The following is a 23,833-nucleotide window of genomic DNA, read 5'->3' on the forward strand; positions in this document are numbered from 1 at the left end:
GCCTGGCCAAGATGGTGAAACCCCGTCTCTACTAAAAATACAAAAATTAGCCAGGCATGGTGGCAGGCACCTGTAATCCCAGCTACTCGGGAGGCTGAGGCAGGGAATTGCTTGCTTGAAGCTGGAGGCAGAGATTGAGTGAGCTGAGGTCGCGCCATTGCAGTCCAGCCTGGGTGACAGAGAAAGACTCCGTCTCACAAAAAAAAAAAAAGAAAGAAAAAGAAGAAGTAAGAACAACAGACTGATTTAAGAGTGAAGTCTATTTAACCAGTGTACTCATTGAATAATGCCTCTCCTTCAGGGGCAGTGTCTTTTATTTTCAACACCTCCTCATTAGTTTCTATGGAGCACAGCTAAATATTTGGGGGCTGGCAAGCCCAAGGTTTCTACTTGCTGTTTGATCAGAATTTGGGGTAAGAATCTCATAGCAGTCAGAATGGCTATTATTAAAAAGTCAAAATAACAGCAGATGCTTGTGAGGTTGTGGAGAAAAAGAAAGTTTATATACCGTTTGTAGGACTGTAATTTAGTTCAACCATTGTGGAATACAGGTGGTGATCCCTCAAATACCTAAAGACAGAAACACATTTGACCCACCAATCTCATTACTGGGTATATACCCAAAAGAATATAAATCACTGTATTATAAAAATACATGCACACATATGTTCATTGCAGCACTATTCACAATAGCAAAGACATGGAATCAACCCAAATGCCCATCAATGATAGACTGGATAAGGAAAATGTGGCACAGATACACCATACAATACTATGCAGCCATAAAAAAGAATGAGATCATGTCCTTTGCAGGGACATGGATGGAGCTGGAAGTCATTATCTTTAGCAAACTAATGCAGGAATAGAAAACCAAATACCACATGTTCTCACTTATAAGTGGGAGCTAAATGATGAGAACACATGGACACACAGAAGGGAGCAACACACACTGGGGCCTTTTGGAGGGTGGAGGGCGAGAAGAGAGAGGGGATCAGAAAAAAATAACTAATGGATACTAGGCTTAATACCTGAGTGATGAAATAATCTGTACGACAACCCCCATGACACACATTTACCTATGTATCAAACCTGCACATGTATCCTTGAACATAAAATAAAAGTTAAAAAATAAAAAGAATTTGGGGTAAGAGCACTACCATTTAACCCCTGATGTAATGCTGAAGCCTCTACACCAGCATCAGGGTCTTCATAAAGATGAAGGTCAGGGAGCAGAGTTGATCCAGTTATGGGCTCAGATAGAGAAATCATGATGATGACTGAAAATCTGAGTAACTGCTCCATCTAGTTAACAGCTGAAAATCTGAGTAACTGCTCCATCTAGTTAATATTTGGATCCCAAATAAAAACACGATAAATTATGAAACTAAGAAAAACATAAGCAGAGAATGTGGAAAGAAGGGATGGCAACCAACCACGTGTCAGTCACTGATTTAGGACTGTATTTACATTATCTCATTTAATTTGCACAAAACTCTATAAGCAGAAAGGATATGTAAAAACACTTCTTGAACACTTTATTAGTCCACTTTGGTTCTAGTGGTAAGCAACACCAAAATCTCAGTTGTTTTTAACAACAAACCATATGTGTCTTGCTCTGGAGTCTGAGGTTGGCCCTGACTCTGCAAGGCTCTGCTGGACTCAGCTAGGCTTGGAGAGACTCCACATGTCTTCTAATTTTGGGAGAACTAACTAGGGTGTGCTTTTTATGGTGGAGGGGAGAATCTCAAGAGGAATGAGCAGAATGCCATGCTACCTATAAAAGTCTCTTCTCAGAACTATAACTTCCACTCATATTCTACTGTTTAAAGCAAGTTGCATGGCCAAGCCAGGCCAGAAGGCAATGGAATGAGGATGTTAGGGTCAGCATGGATAAGTCACATGACAATGGGCTGGTAAGTTTTATCCTAACCAAGTGTTAGGGGATATTGTTGGAAGCTATAGTCCAATCTCTGTCAATCTCCCACCCACTCCCCTTCTTTCTAAAATTTCTCTTCACTACAATAGCATTTAGAAATAAGAGGTATACCTGGCTTTATCGGCAAATGAATGAAGACTTTGAAAGGTTAGCTAATTTGCCCAAGGACTGGCAAGTATCGAATGAGAGACTTAAACCTAACCTGTCTGAGTCTCAAATCCATATTCTTTTCCCAACACTTTTGTTAGAGAATCACCAAGTCTGAGATTTAAAAAAATCTAAGACAACCAGAGATAAATTATGCACAAAGTAGAATTGTGGGAATCATTTCCCTGCAGAGTAAAAATATGAAATTAATTAAGTTTAATGAGTCTGAACATTAGAAACAATTTTCTTAGACATCTTCTTTTATAATACCACCCTTTGGAAGGATATGGTAGGATGAGGTAATGATTAGAGTGAGTCTTAAACAAAATTGTAAAGAAAGTTTTCTTTTTATGACCTTTCGTCCTTCTTTTATTTATTTTGTAATTCATCAGAGGCCCTGCTATCTGCCCCAGAAGCTGGCTACACATAGCTCCTTGTTGCAGTTCCTTCCTTGTGCTTGCCCTCCTGACCAATGCCCAAGTCACAGAATGTTCCTCTCTCCTGTAAAGCATAAAATCTCCACATTATCAGTGTTCCCATCAGAAGGTATACATTTTGAAAGAGGATTCCTGAAAATAACGTCTAGCCTCAGATAATGTTTCTTATGACCATTTGACCCTGGGGTCTAATGTCTAAAATAAGTAAATTTGAGTATGCAGAACTTTCTGACACCTCTACTACCAAGTGTGTGTACTTCAATTAATCTGTAAGCATAAAAAAGGATTTAATTCTTGTGAAGGGGGCAAAAGCCCTTCTTTCTCATTCATGGTCAAATGTCAAGTGGATTTTATACTTTCTTGGAAATAGATGTGTGGCTGCCAGCTGGAATGACACTTTACCTTTTTTCCTCATGAGACGCTTCTTATTTTTCTGTATTTATTTATTTATTTGAGAGAGAGTCTCGCTCTGCCATCCAGGCTGGAGTGCAGTGGCATGATTTCGGCTCACTGCAACCTCTGCCTCCTGGGTTCAAGTGATTCTCCTGCCTCAGCCTCACCAGTAGCTGAGATGACAGGCGCCTGCCACCATGCCCAGTTAATTTTTGTATTTTAGTAGAGATGGGGTTTCACCATGTTGGCTAGGATGGTCTCAAACTCCTGACCTCAAATGAGCTGACCACTTTAGCCTCCCAAAGTGCTAGGATATAGGTGTCAGCCACCACACCCGGCCGATATGCTTCTTATTTGAAAAAAAAAATAAAAAGTTTTTGGTAAGTTGACTTGGGAAAACCCATTCTATGCATATTGATGGGGAGGAATAGTCACAGAGAGCACTGCTTTCATGAGCTCTACCAAAGTATCTTCCCTAGCCGTCTACTCCACTGAAACAGAAGGTCTTCCCTCTAAGGGAAGTAGGAGAATGGGGGAAAAGAGAATGTGACGACAGTTCTTGCCTCCATGTTTCTCTGGTTAATCTGAATGCAGGTTTTCTAGCCAGTAAATTGTAAAATCAAGCTCATTATAATTTTGAAAAGAGAGATTAATCCACAATGTTCTTATTTTATGCCTGGAACATAGTTGGTATTCAATATCCATGTGCTCAATGAATGAATGCATGAGTGAATACATTGGTGAGTATTAATCAGGGCTTAAAGTCCACTGCATATATAAGAGGACTTTCGTTTGTGTTTATTTGACACTTGCACATTCAGAAATATTTTTAAAGTAACTTATAAGCTTTGTGATTTAAAATGGTACCTGAGCCATCATAAATGCTATTGCCATCTGGAATATATTTGTGACAATTTTCTTTAAAAGTCAGTAGTGTGAGCCATGATGCTTTGCTTTTACATGCTTGTGTATGCGTTGCCAAAGTATTTTTATAATATTATAGAATTCTGAATAAATTATCAAGAGAGGAGCCACTATCTTTGTGAAGTGTGGAAATGAAATTTGCTCATTTAAAAAGACACATCTAGAGTGTAAGAAATGTTTTATTGATACAGAATATACTCATGCATACTCACACTGCAGACATTTTAGATGGCAGCAAGTGCTTCTTTCAAGTGTTGCCTTTCGACACCTTGGTTGACTGATCTTATGGTATGGCTTGGTGGGAAGGGAATACAGGTCAATAAGCGGAGAGTGGTGTGGTAGAGAGAGGACAAAGAGTGAATAAGTGGATCATTGCTAATGTCAGAATTCCTGAAATGCCTGAGATGCCTGGAGCATTCCTGCTGGAGATTGAAATAACATAACAGAGTGACCCCAGGTCTGGAGATTCTTGCCTCATTTATTTTGCATTGGAAGTCACAGTAAAAATGGTTCTTAGTTTCGCTTGAGCACTGACCTACATTTAAATAGAAAGAAACCAATAACAGTTATACTTAAATCCCCAATGCCAATATGTCTGAAAAAATATGTTGTGAAGGAAAAGGAAGAAAAAAACAACTTTCATGGGCATAACTTATCTTTGACTGTCACAAAATCAATAGGCTTTACAGAGCAGAGGAAATTCAATAGCTCGGCATTCATAATAAAGATTGGTTTGGGTGATTTGTCTCTCTCTAATAAGGCAGGCCTTGGACCCCAGCTTCCCTTCCTTTAAAACTCAAAGGGGGTGAAGATTTCTTCATCACAGCCAAGTCTTCTTGCTTGTCTATTGTCAGGACTTTACAATGGTACTGCTTGTCTAGTCAAGCCTTGCTTCACCCAGGAGAACAGACTGCACATTGGGGTGTGGAGTAACAGATGCCCAGCTTTATACCAGCATTCAGCCTTCCTCAGCCTGCCTGACAGCCTTTTCATGCATCACGGATTCATCCATTTCAATGAGAAATCCAGAGCAATGCTGCAAGTATTTGTGTGGTTTTTTTGAGAGACTACTTTATAGAATGTGTCCAGATATTCACTCTGGAAACTGTGCCCATTGCAGAAAAATGTGAAAAAGATGTGAGTGCACTGGCCTGACCCAACTCTCATCTGAGGAAGCTTATGCCCAGACACCCATTGATATGTTCAGATCAAGTGGAGAGATAGAGGACCAGAAAGGATGAAGAGGCTGATTATCACAGGTGGTGTGCCACACCCAAGGCTTGCCAGCCCTGAGGCTGTACCACACCCAACACAGGTCCTTGAACATGGCAGGAAATAAACAGATGTCAGCTGAATTGAGGTAAAAGTCTAGCATATGATCGGGCGTGGTGGCTCACGCCTGTAATCCCAGCACTTTGGGAGGCCAAGGCAGGCGGATCACCTGAGGTCAGGAGTTCAAGACCAGCCTGGCAAACATGGTGAAACCACATCTCTACAAAAATTAGCTGGGCATGATGGCAGGTACCTGTAATCCCAGCTACGCAGGAGGCTGAGGCAGGAGAATCGCTTGAACTTGGGAGGCAGCGGTTACAGTGAGCCGAGATTGAGCCGCTGAACTCCAGTCTGGGAGACAGAGCAAGACTCCATCTCAAAAAAAAGAAAAAAAAAAAATTCTAGCATATATCAAATTCCTAACATGTGCCACTCTCTTTACATATTAGTCCTAATCTTCATAGCTTGCCGGAAAACAGATGTGTTACTGCTGTAATTCTCTGCTGTGCCAAAAACAAAAACAAACAAACAAACAAAAAACCCCAAGTTCAGAGGTTAAAAAATGGGCTCAAAGTCATATAGATAGTCTGGGTTAGAGGCAGGACTCCAATCAACACCTCCCTGACTCTGAGGCCATGTCCTTTCAACTACTCCAGAAGCCTTCTCTTAGCAACATTATCAGACCAAGGAGGAGCAAGCTGGGCCTAAGTTAAATGACATTGCTCAAAAGTTGTAAGCGTTAGGGTCCTCCTTCTCAGACTTAAGCCTCTATAACCCTACTGGACTTGAAAAACCTAGGTTTTAGTTTTGCTTCTGCCACTAACTCATGGTATGATCTTATGCCAGTTGACTTTTTTGAGCCCAGGGTTCCTTTCTATAAAGTGGCAGTTAAGAATCCTCATCCTACCTCCTTTCTCTGTGTGGACACATGAGAAGAAGAATGTACAAGCGCAGAAATTCTCACTTAACTTCTCCAATATGTTCTTAGAAACTGCGACTTTAAGCAAAATGTACTGCAGGCCCTAGAATCATATCATTTCTTTCAACATTGTTTCATTATAATGTTGATGAGAAAAAAAAAAAACAACATTGGTTTAGTTCTATGTTGTTTCACTTAAAGTTGCAGTAGATGAATCCTGGGTAGTCTAGAAATGTAGGCTAGCAGCAGTAGCTGGGGCAGAGCGCCGTGTAGGAACAGAGGGAAGAGCTAACCAACAGAACGATGGAGGGATAGAGCACTACCAGTAGGGTGGCAGCTGCCTCTCCTTCCAAGCTTCTCCGATGGGCCCTCTTGAAAAAGCAGAAAATAAACAACAGTGAGTCAATAAGTAACCACTGCATGCTTGTCAGTATTCACCTTTTGTCAATCTGTGAGCCCCCTGCAGTATGGATTGAAGGATTGGAGGCTAGGGCCACCACTGAGAAATAAGTTAATGGAATCTGCCGAGCATGGCAGCAGAGGTGACATTTAAGAAGTAAGAGCTGTAGAGCCACTGGCCCCTCATCTACCCTCCCTAGGCAGGAACCCCTCTCCTGACTAATTCCACCTGCATTCCAAGAGTGACTCTGACCCAGTGCTGCCACGGGACAAGAAGGTTGGCTGTCTTCCCCAGGATAGGCAGCTGGCGGATGAGCTGAGAGAGGTTTAAGAAAGAAGATGAAACCAGCACGCGGAACCATGGAAACAGCTGTTAGTTACTTGAAACATGATGAGTGAAAGAGCATGGAACACATGCCAGCATCAACCTGTTCCCCCACATGTTTTAAAACCTCAGGGCCTAAAGACGGCCATAGTTAGGGGAGAAAAAATGAAGATACGCCTGTGATAAGACCATCAATGGTGCTACATATGTTGTGTGTGTGTTAGGACTGGGTTTACTGTGAGTGACAGAAAATTTAAAATGGCTTAACTTTATAGAAGTATATTTCCATCATACATGCACACACATGGTCTGAAGATGGAAGACTGATAGAATGGCATCACAAAGTCATATGGAACTGGCTCCTTCTCTCATGCTGTTGCACCATCCTATCTTCAGCCTGTGACACTTATCTGACAGTCCACAATAAAGATTCAAACTCTAACCATCATCCCTGAATTCCAGCCAGTGGAAAAGAGGAAGTGAGAAAGACAGTGAACTCAAGAGTCTCACATGAGACTTCTACTTAGAGCTCAATGGCCAAAACCTGTGGCCTGATCCAGCTGTGAGGGTCATTCTTGGCCACGTTCCCAGCTAAAATGTATCTGTTCTGCCTTAAGTAAGGAAGGAAGGAAGGATCGATACTAGGAGACCATGTGCAGTTCTGTTACACAGTCATAATTAAAAATAATCCCAAAGCTTCTTCACCATAACCCTTAGAAGAGGCTAGCAGAAAAGACCAATGACTCTTTCCTACCATACCCAGATGGCTGACAATCAGCCTAGAGATATTACTCAACAGGTTGAACATGGATATACTGCAATCCACCAACTAAATTTACTTCAGAAGGTTAAAAAAATAAAACTTCTAAGGAAAGCAGAAAAAGAAAGAAGGGGAAAAAACTGGACAATTGATTGGATATGGGAATTTTAGTACTGCAAGTAGCCTGACAGACATACACAGAGGTCCCTGGAAATCAGGTCTTGAGGTTCCTCTAAAAAGCACAACCCTACACACACATACATACACCTACAGACATATACCCCTCATACTCATATTATTGCAAGTCCACATGCTGATGCCAAGGCTGTCTATCTGAGACTTGGTCACAGCTAACTCTTAAGAAATACTGTCATTTCACAAAAGATGGTTTCTATAAAAGCAACTTTCTTAGCACCGTATTACTCCTTTGATCACCAACAATCATGAACATGTAAAATATGTATTATCTGTGACTTTCTTTAAAAGTGCAAAACATATATTGAATGTAGAAGTGTTTTTCTTTTCTATCTTCTGTTGCTGAAGGTGGTGAATAGGTATAAAATTTTTTGACCCTTGCTTAAAAAGAAGATTTGAGGATTTGGGAGTTTGTGACAGCCGTTTCACAGATCTGGTGAACCAGCTAATCAGACTGCCAGTGAACCTGTTGCTGCACAAAGAAAAATTGTATTTTTTTTCAGATAAGCAATTTCTACAAATTGGATAAATTAGTGTTAGATGAAATATGATTAAAAATACTCATGACATGAATAGCTCAAAAACCCTTGGAATGTATTGTAAGTGCAGAGCCAGTATGAAGGACTAATGTCTTTTAGAAAAAGTAAATTTAGCTGCTTATTTTAATTGCAAATAGTGATGAATTAGCAAAAAACTAATAATATTTCTTTCCCTAAAAGAAATGCTGAATCTTAGTGAACTAATAACTTAAAAATTGCCAGTGCAAGAGAAATATAATATACAGTAATGTTCACCAAATATTTAATTTGTTTCTCTACATTCTTCAGTTTTCTTGCTATTAGGCAAGACTAGTTTTGCCTAATAAAATGTAAATAGATGCTGCTTAATACTTCCAGTCTCAGGCAGTAAAAAGTGCAAGAGCAGGCCGGGTGCAGTGGTTCATGCCTGCAATCCCAGCACTTTGGGAGGCCGAGGCGGGCAGATCAAGAGGTCAGGAGATTAAGAACATCCTGGCCGACATGGTGAAACCTTGTCTCTACTAAAAATACAAAATTAGCTAGACATGGTGGCACGTATCTGTAATCCCAGCTACTCGGGAAGCTGAGACAGGAGAATTGCTTGAACCAGGAAGTTGGAGGTTGCAGTGAGCTGAGATCGGGTCACTGCACTCCAGTCTGGAGACAAAGCAAGACTCGTCTCAAAAAAAAAAAAAAAAAAAAAAAAAAAAGTGCGGCCAGCAGCGGTGGTTCACACCTGTAATCCCAGCGCTTTCGGATGCCGAGGCGGGCGGATCGCCTGAGGTCAGGAGTTCGAGACCATCCTCAACATGGAGAAACCTCGTCTCTACTAAAAACACAAAATTAGCCGGGCATGGTGGTGCATGCCTATAATCCCAGCTACTTGGGAGGCTGAGGCAGAAGAATTGCTTGAACCTGGGAGGTGGAGGTTGCAGTGAGCCAAGATCACGTCATTGCACCCCAGTCTGGGCAACAAGAGCGAAACTCTGTCTCAAAAAAAAAAAAAAAGAAAGAAAGAAAGAAAGAAAATGCATGGGCAATTCTCTGATTTTTCTCCCTTCCCCTGTCATTGTGACCAAGAAGGTCTTATATTACAGATATTAGAACTACAAAATGATGTACCCAACTTTTTGAGTGATTCTTTTGTTTTTGTTATTTATTTATTTATTTTGAGACAGAGTCTCACTCTTTCACCCAGGCTGGAGGGCAATGGGGCTATCTTGGCTCACTGCAACCTCTGCCTCCCAGGTTCAAGCAATTCTCTTGCCTCAGCCGCCCGAGTAGCTGGGATTACAGGTGCCCACCACCACACCCAGCTAATTTTTTTAGTTTTAGTAGAGGCAGTGTTTCACCATGTCAGCCAGGCTGGTCTCAAACTCCTGAGCTCAAGGGATCTGCCTGCCTCAGCCTCTCAAAGAGTTGGGATTACAGGCAGGAGCCACCGTGCCTGGCCCTTTTTGAGTAATTCTATGGAGCAGAACTCCGATGGACCAGTGTGGGATGTGTAGCATGAATAATAAATTAACTTTTGTTATGCTTCTCTGATGAGATTGTCTATTACCGCAGCACAATTTAGCCAATTCTGTCTAAAATAGAGATCAACTAATCAAATATCTGGGGGAGAGCCAAGCTCTGAAATTAAAAATGAAACAAAGACAAAGCCTCAAAATCTCAGGTTCTCAATAGCTCTCTAAGCAGGGATTTTGCTTTAATTAGGTAAAGTTATTGCTAAGATGTTCTATCTAGCCTTAACTCAAGCTGTTTTATCTAACTGCCAAAAAATATTTCTCCTTAAATAGCTCTGGATTATTTGTGTGTCAACCAAGTCTACAAAATGGTTTTTGTTTATATAATATATTTTTTGACTGGGCTACTTTTCCATTAAGTTGAATACAATTTTAAGGTAGATTCCTCTCTTGGATGCTGGATCTGTTAGTTCTCTGATAGGAAATTCAGCCTGTGCAGGCCAAATCTTTGATAAAGGAAATTATCATGGGTTAGGAAGAATACATTTCACGGATTCTGCCAAATTGCAAAATCTACTCTGACCATGTATTGGAAAATCCTCAATTAGGACCCAAACTACAAAATGTTAACAAGTCAAATTAGGAACTAAGAATGATAGTGAATTGGCTGCCTGAAATAATGAATTGATGGGGCCTGTGTCAAACTGCTGAGAAGGGCTTTTATTGTAATTAGCCTAAGGCATCTAGCTGTCAACCCTAAGCACCTGAGGGTGCTCTCTAATTTCCTCGGCTTTTCAGAGCCCAGAGACATGAGGCTACCATCTAGGCAAAAGGTAACATTTATTGAGTATCTACAGTGAGCTAAATCAGGAGTCCCCAAGCCCCAGGCCACATACCTGTAGGAACTGGACCACACAGCAGGAGGTGAGCAGCTGCTGAGCCAAGAAGCTTCATCTGTATTTACAGCTGCTCCCTATTGCTCCAATTATCTCCTGAGCTCCACCTCCTGTCAGATCAGCTGAGGCATTAGATTCTCACAGGAGCACAAACCTATTGTGAACTGTTCGTGCACGTCAGGGATCTAGCTTGTGTAAGCTACTTAAGAATCTAATGCCTGATGATCTGAGGTGGAACAGTTTCATCCCAAATCCATCCCTCTGTTACTGGAAAGGGGTCTGGATCCAGACCCCAAAAGAGAGTTCTTGGATCTCACGCAAAAAAGAATTCAAGGTAAGTCTGTAAAGTGAAACGGAGTTTATTAGGAAAGTAAAGGAATAAAAGAATGGCTACTCTATAGACACAGCAGCCCTGAGGGCTGCTGGTTGCCCATTTTTATGGTTTATTTCTTGATTATATGCAAAACAACGTGTGGATTATTCATGCCTCCACTTTCTAGACCATATAGGGTAACTTCCTGAGGTTGCCATGGCATTTGTAAACTGTCATGGCACTGGTGGGAGTGTAGCAGTGAGGATCACCAGAGATCACTCTCATGGCCATCTTGGTTTTGGCGGGATTTGGCCAGCTTCTTTACTACAACCTGTTTTATCAGCAAGGTCTTTATGACCTTTATCTTGTGCCGACCTCCTATCTCATCCTGTGGCTTAGAATGCCTTAACAGTGTGGGAATGCAGCCCAATAGGTCTCAGCCTTATTTTACCCAGCTCTGATTCAAGATGGAGTTGCTCTGGTTCACATACCTCTGACACTCCTACTCCCATGCCAAAAAGGTTAGTGTGCAAAATGCCTTACTATACGTTTTCCAAAGTAGACTTCCATTTTACAGAAAAGGCAACTGAGGCTGTAAGTAGTATCTGTGAGTAGTATCTCAAGAGACAGGGTCAGGATTCAACCTGGGGCCAGGCTTTCCCATCATTGCATATGGCAACATTGACCAACATGTAAATGAGTCTACGTATCTGTATTAATCTTAATGGAAATCTTCTGGCAGGAGGTTCTAATAAAAATTGGTATCATGTTTTTAACCAAAATATCTGAGTGTGTATGGATGCATAATGTCACAGTCTCAATATGAAAAATGTACAGATTTTTGTGAAATTTTACTTTGGAATGGAAGAAACAGTAAGGCGACTCCAGGAGACAAGATTTATCACATTACATTCTTGCTGCACAATCAATAACGTGGAAGAATGCTAAAAGTTATAATTAAAACTAACATTGACACCTTGCTGGTGAGGACTCAGCACAGTGGAAAACATTTCTTTGTTCTACTCTCAATGCAGATTTTGCTTCTGAATAATGCAATTAAAATTTGTTTAGATTTTTGCTTCTATTTTAAAAAAATGTATCAAAGAAAAGAACATAGATGGATATCTAAGGCATAATACTTTAATCTCATTCTTTTTCTTTTTAATTAGATTTGAAAACAATTAGTTTTTTTTAATGTACATTCTTGATCAATAATCTTTCTGGTCATTGCAAATCCCCTTTCTTGGATATGTTACATGTATTTAGTCAGTGGATTCCTGCCTATTGCATATGAGCAATATTCATCTCATCTTTACCTTTGATTCTTACATTATGCAAACATGTAGAGACTTAAATCTTCCACTGAGGGGCTGGGGACAGGGGTAAGCTAAGAGAATTACAACAGGAAGGATGATCTTTCTGCTGTTTCTGTAACTCTGCCACCTGTTTCTGTGCTTTTTAAGCAGAGACAACTGGTATACCAACTCTACATGGGCCACAAGCTTCCTGAAAAGAGATTCTGAGCCCCTCGACCCAGGGGGCTTGCAGGAGGGGATGCTGCTAAGGGGGTTTGTTCTCTCAGGCTGAGGGAAGCCTCTTTCATTCACTTCCAGTGCTGTACAAATACTATCCTTTTTCCATCGTGTGCTATTTCTTAAAAGGTTTGAAAAATAGTGACTTAGAAGATGCAATTTTTGATCTGTTTTCTTAACAATTAAATTGCTAAAATTAATTTTACTTTCTAAATGCAGGATGATGTTTTCATGTGAATAAGCCTGATTTTACTTTAGTAAATTTCATCTGTAAAAATATAGTTCAGTGAGAACTGAAAAGCAAATATTACTGAAAGAAAACAACACGTTTCCTGAATCTTAGTAGGTAGCCAAGATATATTACCTTTCTTTCTTCTTTCCCTCTTAATCCTAATTTGTATCTGTGCTAAATGCTTACTAGGGTTTAAGTACTTTGTTTGAGGTCAGGCACCTTTTAAATTTACCCCAGTATCTACAGAGCCCTGAAAACTATGTGATGCCTTAATTGTTTCTTAAATGAAAGACATTCATTTCCTTATTTAAGAATTTTTATGTGCACTTTTACATTTTTATTTTTTTCCAACTTCCTAAGAATTAGGGGACTATAGCTGATACTTTTGGATTTCATTCTCACTTCAACCTTTCTTGTTACATGATTCACTGTGATTTCCCATCTCACTGAAATCATTCTCCAATTTCTCTTGGGGAATCACACACAAAAAAATTACCCTCATGCTCTGGCTCTAAATTCTTCTACAGAATATGGTTTTGATAGATAAACAAAGGTTTAAAATGCTTTCTTCTTTTATGTGTTTACTTAAAATGTCCAAAGTCTCAAGTTACTTAAGACTACTATAACCTGAAGTAAGAACTAGTTATTTAAAAAGAAAGAAAAAAAAAAAACAGTAGTTATTAATCCAAATTTTAGATGTGCAAATCTACCAAGGAGGTTTCTTTTTGTCATTATGTTCTCTTTTTTATTTTGTCTATGTTATATCGGAGCTGAAAATGTAATTTCCCAGTTACCTAAGTAAGCAAAGATTAACACAATAATTATAGTTTTCCTAGCTTTTCAGAATATATTATAGTAGATCTTTTCTTGCTCTCCAAGTTCTTTTTAGTTTTCTTTTTAATCCTTTCTTTCTATATTAACATTGTAAACTACCATCTTCTAGCCATTTTGAGGGAATGGTATTTTTCTTTCTTTCTTTTTTTTTTTTTTTGGCAAACAATAAAATTAGTTCAAAACCTTTGTTTCAAAGCAAAGAAAGGCTGTAGTCTTCTACCTGCCTTTATTCTAGGAAAAGCAAAACAAACCAAACATTTTTTCCTGTTACCCTCAGTCTTGTCTTTGAAATGTTTGTACAGTAGCTGATCTCTGTTAGGCCCCCTCTTGCCCTGAATAAAACTTCTATTTATAATGTCTATACATAATCCCAAAATGAAGGGAAAGGGAGAAGAAAATTATATGCATAGAGCTTTATTTAGTCATCAGAATCGGAACCCAGAAGTGAGCTGGTCAACCAGAAGAATGGGCAGTGGGTAGGGCTGGAGAGTGTATTGCTTTCGGTATAAAGATAGCCTGTTTTCTGTTTGTGCCAATAAGTAACCCTCAATCCACTCATAGCCCCATTCAGCAGGAGCAAACTATCAATCACTATTGCTGTGCAGCTGGGAAGGTGTTCCAGGGTGGTCAGCTCATTCCATCTTCATCAGAGAGTGGCTGAGTGCAGCACTTTCAAAGGCTTGTTGTAAAACTGAGGCCCATTAAAAACAACAAATAGGTAACATCAGGGAGTTTTCAGCTCATGAAACCAGATTCAGCCATCTTATGTGTGTGTTCTGATTGCCTCCTAACTGCTCATCTTCTTGACCAGCCTGCTGTCTATATGCTCTTCCACAATGACCTATTGAAAGCACAAGTCTGATGATGAAGTCTCAAAGACAAAGCCCCAAAGTCTACTGTACACTGTAAAATACTTTTTATAAGATTTCCCCCTGTGTATGTCTTGACTGTTATCTCCACCTACCACTCATTATTGCTTTAGCAATATCAAACTCTTTATAATTCTTTGAAGTTTGACCTCTGTGTTTTTTTGTTTGTTTATTTGTTTTTTATCCTGGAAAGCCATTTGTCCTTCTGTGTTCCCAGGAGCCAGTCACTTCCTTCTTTGTGCTATCTTTGCACTTTGCACATATATTTTTTATTGTATCTGTCATAGTATATCAAGTTATTTATTGACAAGTCTTCCACATATAGCCATGTAAGATTTTTCCTGTCACAATTCCAGAAAACTCTATTCACTTTGCAGAATATGCCACCTGTCAGTGTGACAGCTCTGCCTTTACTATTAGTATTAATAATAATAGCTGCTACTTATTGGACATAGGCCAAAGTCGTCTCCTTTTTTTATTTTATTTTTTTCAGTCAGAGTCTTACCCCGTCACACAGGCTGGAGTGCAATGGCGCGATCTCGGCTCACTGCAACCTCCGCCTCCTTGGTTCAAGCAATTCTCCTGCCTCAGTCTCCCGAGTAGCTGAGATTACAGGCATGCGCCACGACGCCCGGCTAATTTTTTTGTATTTTTAGTAGACGGGTTTCTCCATGTTGGTCAGGCTGGTCTCAAACTCCCGACCTCAGGTGATCTGCCCGCCTCAGCCTCCCAAAGTGCTGGGATTACAGGCATGAGCCACCATGCCCGGCCGGTCATCTCATTTTATCTGCACAATAAAATCATGAAGTGAGCACCATTCCTACCTCCAGTTTATTGATGAGGGAACTCAAGAGCATAGAGCAAAACTTGCCCCAGGTCCCATCGTAGATTGTGACTGCTTCAAGAGCAAGGTCTGAGTCTAATTCTTCCACTATCTCTGGTGCTTAGCATAGCATCTAGAATACAGGGTCAGCGAAATACATGTTGAGATGAGTGAATAAATGAATAAATGGGAAGCCTAAAAGAGAAGGTGGTAACTCTCTTCAACTACTGGAAGGGCTTCATTGAAACCAGGACTCTTTTGGTTACATGAAAACCTGGAATGTGAATTAGTTCATGCAAAATGGAAGTTATAGACTCAAAGAATTTGAATAGTGTAAGTGGGTCCCAGAATGCGGGCAAATTCTCTGTCATTCCTTCAACAGTTTTCTATTGAGCACATACTCAATGTCAGGCCCCCTGGGAGTTTGGGATACATTGGATCTCTGCCATCCTGGAGCTTATATTCTGGCAGAGGGAGACACATAATAAAAACACACATAACAATTAAGGTCTGGAGCATACTAAGGCAATATGTGCTATTGGGAAGAGGGAACTTAGAGCAGAGCAAAGGTGATGGAGTGTAAGACTGTGGTGTTCAGTGGGAAATTTGGGAAGGAAACAGTGAAAATTGAGCAAATACTTGAAAGGGATGAAGGTTATCCAGGGGTATATCAAGGTAAGAACAACCTTGGCAGAAAGAATATCCAGGCATAGTCCCTAAAGTAAGAGAGTGTCTGGAATTCCAAGAGACAGTGAGGATGCAATTTATCTGGAGTGGGGTTACCAGATAAATACAGGATTCCCGTTGAGTTTCCATATTGAGGTGTCACTGTTATAGTCGGTAGTCAGTAAAGTATCTGTGGTAATATAAAATTACATGTATTGCATGGAACATGGTTACGCTTAAAAAAATTCATTTTTTAAATCTGATGTTCACATGTTAATTAAGTGTCCTGTATTTGTATTGCTCGATCTGGCAGCCCTAATCTGGGTCAGAGTGAGAACAGGGGAAAGGTCTGTGTCTTGAGTCTCTGCCTCTCTCTGCTCATACCTGTTATTTCCCTACACACCAGTCCATCTTCCTCCATATGGAGGGAAACTTCAGGGCTTCGGAGCTTAATCCCACAAATTTTTCCATCAAAGAAGTCTAATTCACATGCAGGGGAGGACTCTGAGTGACGCAATATGAGCCAGGGACATTGTGGTAAACAGGACTAGGTACTGTGAGAGACTCAGCTTGGAACAATCACGTTGGATGGGGCAGCTACCATAGGACCCGCATGACTGTGGCTGAGAGAAGGAAAAAGTGTGTAGAGGGAGGTGAGCAGACACAGGATTTCCACACTAAGACACCTTGGCAGCTCCATGGTAGCAACTGCTTAATCAGATCCTCTGGTGGATAGAGACAACCATGATACTTAAATAAAACCCACAGTGAACCTTCCAAATTCAAAGGTTTGAATGGATTTGAAATGTATTGCCTACCTATTTTTGTTAGTTTAAAGTGTTATCTCTCAAATTATTTCATTCATTATGCCAATAATGTTCATAATTGTTTTAACATATACCAAGTGTCTTCAGGAAGAGATGTTCTACAAGCATCCTTGGTAATGAATGGGTAGAGCTTCCTAGAGTTGATAATTTCCCACAAGATAGTCCACATGTCACTGATTACAATGTTAAGCTTCCTATCCTGACTTTAGCACTGCTTGGATGGACATAAATGTTCTAGCATAGAATTACAATTCCACCTGGATTACAGAAGTTGGAATCATGTTACAATAAAAAAAAAAATGTTTGTATGTCCTCAAGGGTCTGCAAACCTGCAGTTCTCTGTCTCTCTCTCAAAGGCTTTGGATATACTGGTGATGGAATTCAAGCAATTTATCACCAGATTTTGTAATACATCTTGCTTGATAACTGTAATTATGAAGTGTCACCACTATAGCTGGCTGTTGGGGTGCTGAGGTGGAGAAGTCTCTGTGATGAAAGAAATTTACAAGCAAACATGGGAGAGTATTTTCCTGGCAGGATAAGAAAAGGGTGTGTGAGTTCTGGTGTTCAGGGTTGTGGGAGACTGTTTGGCTCCACACAGCTGGATAGAAATTATGCCCAGGGGTCACAGCCAAAACCCATCAGAAACTACACATTACAGTGTGAAGTGTCCTCTCTGTGCTCCCTGTGGAGTTGGGGCATCCTCATTTCATACATCATTTATTCATCCCATGGAGGGATTTCACAAAGAAATGGTCTGGAATAGTTATCAAGCTGCTCGTGACACTCGTGTGTGTGGGCCCTCCATTTGGGGGACCACATCTCAACCACTTGGGTTTTGCACCACCGCTTTCTTTCATGACAAACCAACTTGCTTGTTAATGTGTCTATGAAATGAGCCTTTACATTTCTCTGGAGACCTACTCACCAGCCATACCCAGACTCATGTTTTTATTTGGTAATGTTGCTAGAATCACATTGACTGGAGGAAAATTGTGCTGGGCCTCTCTCTGTCATAACATATAAACACATGCTGACACGCCGCAAAGAAGAAATCCATTTGCCGGCTTTGTCAGCATAATAGCTTCCTGAGCACTTTCACAGGCTCTGCTTAATGACTCCAGCCACACATGGAAAATTCCTCAAAGATGTGCTTATCAAAAATGCTAAAATCTATCGTGATGCTTCGTCATTGATACTACTAATCATCTGATCCTCAAGTGGTATGCAACGTGTCACTGGCTGTTTCCAGGCATGTGACAGAAAAAGCTCAGATGAACATGATTTTCTTATACCCTTATTTTGAAACACCAACAAGCTGCCCAGTCCTTTCAAGAACAGAGAAATTCCAAATAAACTGCACAAGGGTTCTATAAAGGTTGAGATGTGAGATTTGTTGGTCTTGGGCATTTGGAGATACCAGCACTGTTTTTCCTTTTTTCATTCTATTTAAACACTGCTCTTTGGAGCACCCACTGTGTGCCAGGCACTGTGTGGGCACTGGGAAAAGATAGCTTCTATACCCCCTCATCATGGTCTTGGGGCTGGGGAAGGGAACAAAACTTTTCATCCTGTAGCGGTTTAACAAGCCCCTGCAAAGACTTTCTTCTCTGATGTTAGACCCGTTTTCCAGGGAATTTTTTTTCTTTCCCAAACCCCCAAAACATCTGACCCGCAGGGGGGCAGCGCTGAGCTGCCTCACCCTTGAGCTCTCTGTTCCTGCGCACACTAAAGATAACCGGAGGCAGGAGGGGCCAGGGACACTTTCCCAGGGTAGATTTGTTCTCTTTGTCCCTTAGCCAAGGCGCCGTTATGGAGAGGACGATGGTGGTTGTTCGGCTTGTTTGTCGGAATCCCTCCCCTCCCCATCCTTTGTTGTCTGTCAACTCAAACTCCTACCAGGACACATTGGGAGAAAAGCTGTCACCATGAAAGGCTTCAGCTGCCTCTCAGTGCCGCGTCGTTCTGCCAGCTCCCCCGGCCTGGGCACTGGCATGAACGCTGTGCTGCCATTTAGAGGAAAATGAAAGGGCGCAATGAATAGAGTTAAGCCCTTTTACGTTTCCTTTTCAAGTACACCCCACCTCTAGGCACCCCCAAAATGGTATCCTCAGGTTTTCCTCGCCTCCTTTTTTTAGTAAGAAGACAATGGCCGAGAGAAGAAACAGTGCTGGTGAAACTTTAAAGGCTTCCACTGCATTTTCTGTACAAATCCAGAATGCTGCTTAACATCGGAATAGGGAAATTTCCTCCTTTCACAATATTAATTTATGTAGGGCCTGCCCCAGTTTCCTTCCTCTGACTTAGTTTGAATTGCCTTATATTCACTTAATGAAATGCAGTTTTCATTTTCATCTTAAAGATCGTTGTGAGTTTAGGGGAACCAGGCAGAGGAGGTGGACTTGTCTATATTAGGATTTCCCGATGTGAGGGTGAAATGTGTCTGGGTTAATAGGGCTCCTGCGTGGAAAGACAGGGAGAGAAGTTTTCCTTTTGCGCCTGAATGTTGCAGATCCTCTCTCTCTAGCGTTTTCAGCAGGCTGCTGATTTTCAGTTCACTCACCTCTTCTCCCTCCTGGAGCAAGGCATTGCCACTGGGCCCAAAGGAAACTATTTGTTATTCAGGTCTTTTGGGAACAAAACATAGATCATCATTAGCTACAACTTTAGACACTGCTTGTGTTAAAGAGAGAGAGGAAAAAAAAAAAAGGATAAATTAGGGAGACTAGCATAAAACAATCAAAGCTCAATGAAATGTTGGTGTTAAGGATGACCTTTCATTTCCTCATCAGGTACACCTGTACCACTGCTGCAGGAAAAGTTTTCTTTTTTTTTTTTTTTTTTTTAAATAAATATCCTCATTCTTTATATTGTTGCATGGTTTCAGTTCTTTTATTTCCTCTGACTTACTAAGTCTTTTTATTACTGTGTTCTCACTACACTTCCTCTAATGTTCATATTACTAGACATTCTTGGTAACCACAGCCTGTTTATGATGAAAAATAATCTCGAAGGGCAGAGCAGAAGGGAGTCCAAGGGTATTGTCGAAGTACTCCTTTGAAGCCCTTCAAGAGACTCCTGTCATCCTCTTCAGGCCCCCTTTTTTGGTACTGCATGCTCCCCATGATGAATGTACTTACCCTGTCTAACTGATGGACTCAAACTTGAACCCATCCTTCAGTGCCCAGCAAGAGTTGACCCTCCTGTGCTAAACTTTGTGTGCTTTTGTCGACACATGTTCCCACTTCCTGGGCTCCCAAAACATCCTGTGTAAGTATGCTGTGGATATTGCCTTATATATCTCTCTCCCCAGTTAGATCACCAACTCCTGAAGAACAGGAACGATGGTGTCTTTCATCTTCAGAGCTGTGGTGCCTGGCACACAGTGGGGAGTCAGCAAATGTTTCCAGGTATGTTTAAATAGACTTCTTCCCACCTCTTTCTCACCCTTCCATTTTGCCTACATTTCTGCTAATTGACCCAGAGCATTTCCTTTATCTTCATCACGGCCCACTGAGATAATGATGCCTACCAAGCCTCTTTGAGAGTTTGAGGGATAAGAAAAGAATATTAAACAGGCTGTATGCGAGTGTGCTGGATGTTTTTACAAAGTGTGTACATAGATGGTAGTATTTTTATTGTTTTGCAAATTGGCTGCTCATAAGCTTTTTCCTAGCCCAGAATTGGAATCGCAAACTCATATTATCCTTAAGCAATTTACTTAATGAATGCATTGACACTCCTTTTTCTCATCTGTGAAATGCAGGAATTGAATGAGAGTCTCCCTAATATCTCTTTTAGATCTAGAATGCTCACTGAGGATTAGCTTGATTGTGTGGGGCAGGTAAACTTGGTCTGGGAAGCAGAAGTAAAATAACATAGGCCCACCCAACCATCATGCACTTCAAGAAGCAAAACCCCATAAAGGGCCATTTTGATGAGTACTCATGGCTGCCAGCTGCGACTCCAGCCACAGTGACAGGGGCTGAGGGATAAATTGCCCTCCTCATTAAGAAACCGCGTTGAGAAATGCACTGGGGTGAAGTCAGGGACAGAACACAGAACAGTGACAGTCTGCTCTTTTACTAACTGTAAATTGTTTCTTTCCTTCACTTGACATTATCTAATGCAATAACATGATAGAGTTTACTTTTAAAAACCAATTTATTGGGTTTGTTTCCATTAAATAATATTTGGCAAAATATAATGAACAGTCCTTTCTCGGTATTGGTATTTTGGTGGATATCTTCTATTAGGTTGGTACAATTACCTTTATATAATAAAGTATTATATAAATTTACTTTTATGTAATAAAGGTTACCCTAGAAGAAATAAAGTAATAGTATATAGTCACAACAAGGCTTAATATTTTTCTGATTTCGTTGTGCAGACTTGTTCCAGGCTAGGTTTTTCAAAACCTAACCATATGCAAAATGTTTAACATAGTAGCATTAGCCTGTAACATAAGTGATGGAAGGATTATTATTATAATTATACTTTTTAAAAAGATTTATCAGTGGATATATAATTAGACATGTGCCAGGTCCAAAAAGAAATAAAGATCCTAAGAGATTTCCAGTGACATTGTACTTATAAGTAAATTTGTTATGGCTTTCACTGCTGTTTTTTGTTTTATTTTTATTGTTACTTGCTTTTTTTTTTTTGAATAGTTGCTTGTCAGCACATTAAAAACCATAACAGAGACAGGTTAATATAAACATACATTTCTTTTTATAGATATAGAATGTTTTATTTTTGCAATAAAATGCCATTTGAGATATTTCAGTTTTGCTCTAATGTTTTGAGACTCCATTTGGGAGATTTTGGTAATAGAGGTGGCTTATTTATCCTGCTGTTTTGTGTCTAAATGCTACATGACTGGCTAACAAAAACATGCAAATTTTATTTAAATGTGCTTGACCTTGGCAAATTCATATATATTTGTTGTTGTGGCTTTGTCCTTTGTCAACTGTAGCTGTACCTCTCTCTCTCCCTCCCTTTTTTTAACAGCTTAAACAAAAGCTACACTCATGCTATTTTGGACTCATTGCCAAATTCAGTTTCTTTCTGTCAAGTTATGATGTTTTAAGTTTCAAACAGATTCCTTTAAGGATGAAAATTTACATGTACTGCCTACTTTATTTTTAAGAAAATAAAACAAATTACTAAACTTAATGAAAATGTGGAGATTACATATTATTACTTTATTCTGTATTTATGGCTCCTCATCTTACCCCACTCTGTCTTCTCTTTATTCTTTTTCTTTCAAGCACTCCATCAGTTCCTCCCTCCCCCCATTTCTGGGCCCCATTTGCTATCAAGTATAGCAGCTTCTATGATGCATCCTACGACAAAGTGACATGGGATAATGACCAGCCTATGTTACAGCCTGCTCCATGCTGGCCTCAGGAAGCAAACCTCACTATTTACCTAAAACTCCACCGTAGGAGAAAACTGACTTGGGATTAATTACAAATAAAGAGCATTTGTCTTTCCAAAGTAGCAAATATTTTTGTCTGTGGTTGCGTGTGTATATGATTTCAAAGCCACCGTTGCCTTACAAATGTCAAAATTCTTGTTCTGTTCCTTTTAAAAATAATAATAATAAAAAAAAGCATTGGGAACTGCATTCAGCAGTTAGGAGCTGGCTAATGACTTTCCCCCATAGCTGGCTTGTCCCAAGAATGTTCAATAAGACAAAGAAGCAGCACCAGGATTGGGAAGACCAGACAAACTTAAGTGAAATTGTCAACCCCCCAGGGAGGTATTAATAGTTTATTGGGTATGGAAGATGCATAGCAAAGTAAAGGAAGAAGGTTAGTAACCTTTAACATTAAGAAAAAATAACTATTATTGTGACCAGTATAGCATGAAGCACAAACAGAGTACTCTCTGGGCAGCAAAACATAAAGTGTAGCCCACCAGAGAAATTAATAAAATGAAAGCACTGTTTCTTGCAGATGGATATGTAGGAGAATAATGGCGCAGGGCTGCGCTGAGCTGTCATGCATCAGATACTACATCTGTTATGGAAATCAGGGGAAGTGGGGGCCTTTTGTTCATGCAAGAGCCCTCCCAATAGGGATTTGGCTGGAGTAGATTTTCTTGTTATTAAACATGATTTCTAGCTAGTCGAGAGCAGATGCTTCTGCAGCATTTGGAACTAATAACCAACCTTCAAGTGTATGCCACCCCTTCAAGAGGCTGGTACTGCTGGAGACACCAATTTCAGCTCAAAGATAATGTGTGCAGTTCAGTTTCTGCTTTGCACATGAATGACACTGATACCAGATGAGCCTTCTGGCCTAGAGTTTGCTGGAGACAGTAAAACAATGACACTGGCCCTGAAGAGATCAAATTGTAATGTTTCCTATTTTTGCCTCAGTGCAAAGGTTGCAGCTTTCCAGGTACACTTGAGAGGGACAATTCAGAGTCAAGTCAGCAATGTGGGGGACTTCAATTGGAGAGCAAGGAATGAGAGTGGAGGGAAACATGCAGACTCATACTGAACTTGGCAGATACCCCCAGCCCATGCCCTTCCCAGGATCTGACCTCTGGGCTATAACTTTTGTTAAATAATTCATGAGCCCACAGGTCACCACCTAATTCACTAAAGAAAAGCATGTCTTCTTGATAAACCACCTAAATTAAACTGCCCAACATCTTACTCTTGAGTTTTAAAATTTCTGTCCGAATGCAACACATTAATTTTACAAATAAAAAAACCACAAAGCTTAGGCATTCGTTCTCTTCTAACCATTGTATAGATAGTTGTTTCCAAATAAGAAATAGGCATTTGAATCAAAATCTTTGCAAGTATAAATAAAATTTAAATTAGAAAAGCATTATGTCAAAACTTAAAATCAATACCCAAAAAATTCTAAAATGCAAAGAGTAGGGACTTTATTATTTACTTTATTCTATATTTACAAAGTATTTTTACATTTGATAGGTGTTCCTATTTATTGTTTTAATATAAAATTATAGGTATAAGTAGAGATGCAGATACAGATAATGCTTTTACCATTCACCTCAGAATGTTTCCCATTTCGAAAACTGTCCTGTAGTTAGAACTTACTGCCCTAGAAACCAGACAGTAATTCCAGGATGGAACCTATGCCAACTGTGACACAACTTGAAATGGAAGCAT

General features: G+C 40.2%; 1 long non-coding RNA gene across 1 annotated transcript, besides 3 other annotated features; it reads left to right on the top strand.

Moving 5' to 3' along the window:
- Positions 3,923 to 4,812: an enhancer, noted in NCBI's record as "OCT4-NANOG-H3K27ac-H3K4me1 hESC enhancer chr2:151267272-151268161 (GRCh37/hg19 assembly coordinates)". NCBI's record gives its function as "activates a minimal SCP1, AML or CMV promoter by ChIP-STARR-seq in naive and primed H9 embryonic stem cells {active_cell/tissue: H9 hESC(naive and primed)}" and the evidence as "EXISTENCE:reporter gene assay evidence [ECO:0000049][PMID:30033119]".
- Positions 18,113 to 18,613: an enhancer, noted in NCBI's record as "H3K4me1 hESC enhancer chr2:151281462-151281962 (GRCh37/hg19 assembly coordinates)". NCBI's record gives its function as "activates a minimal SCP1, AML or CMV promoter by ChIP-STARR-seq in primed H9 embryonic stem cells {active_cell/tissue: H9 hESC(primed)}" and the evidence as "EXISTENCE:reporter gene assay evidence [ECO:0000049][PMID:30033119]".
- Positions 18,614 to 19,114: an enhancer, noted in NCBI's record as "H3K4me1 hESC enhancer chr2:151281963-151282463 (GRCh37/hg19 assembly coordinates)". NCBI's record gives its function as "activates a minimal SCP1, AML or CMV promoter by ChIP-STARR-seq in primed H9 embryonic stem cells {active_cell/tissue: H9 hESC(primed)}" and the evidence as "EXISTENCE:reporter gene assay evidence [ECO:0000049][PMID:30033119]".
- Positions 19,672 to 22,190, top strand: LOC105373685 (uncharacterized). Its single transcript, XR_923470.3, has 3 exons — positions 19,672 to 19,790; positions 19,997 to 20,093; positions 21,954 to 22,190. It is a non-coding gene; the product is annotated as an uncharacterized LOC105373685 (long non-coding RNA).
- Positions 22,191 to 23,833: the final 1,643 nt, after the last annotated feature.

This window comes from Homo sapiens, chromosome 2, assembly GCF_000001405.40.
Source record: "Homo sapiens chromosome 2, GRCh38.p14 Primary Assembly".
Taxonomy (NCBI): Eukaryota; Metazoa; Chordata; class Mammalia; order Primates; family Hominidae; genus Homo; species Homo sapiens.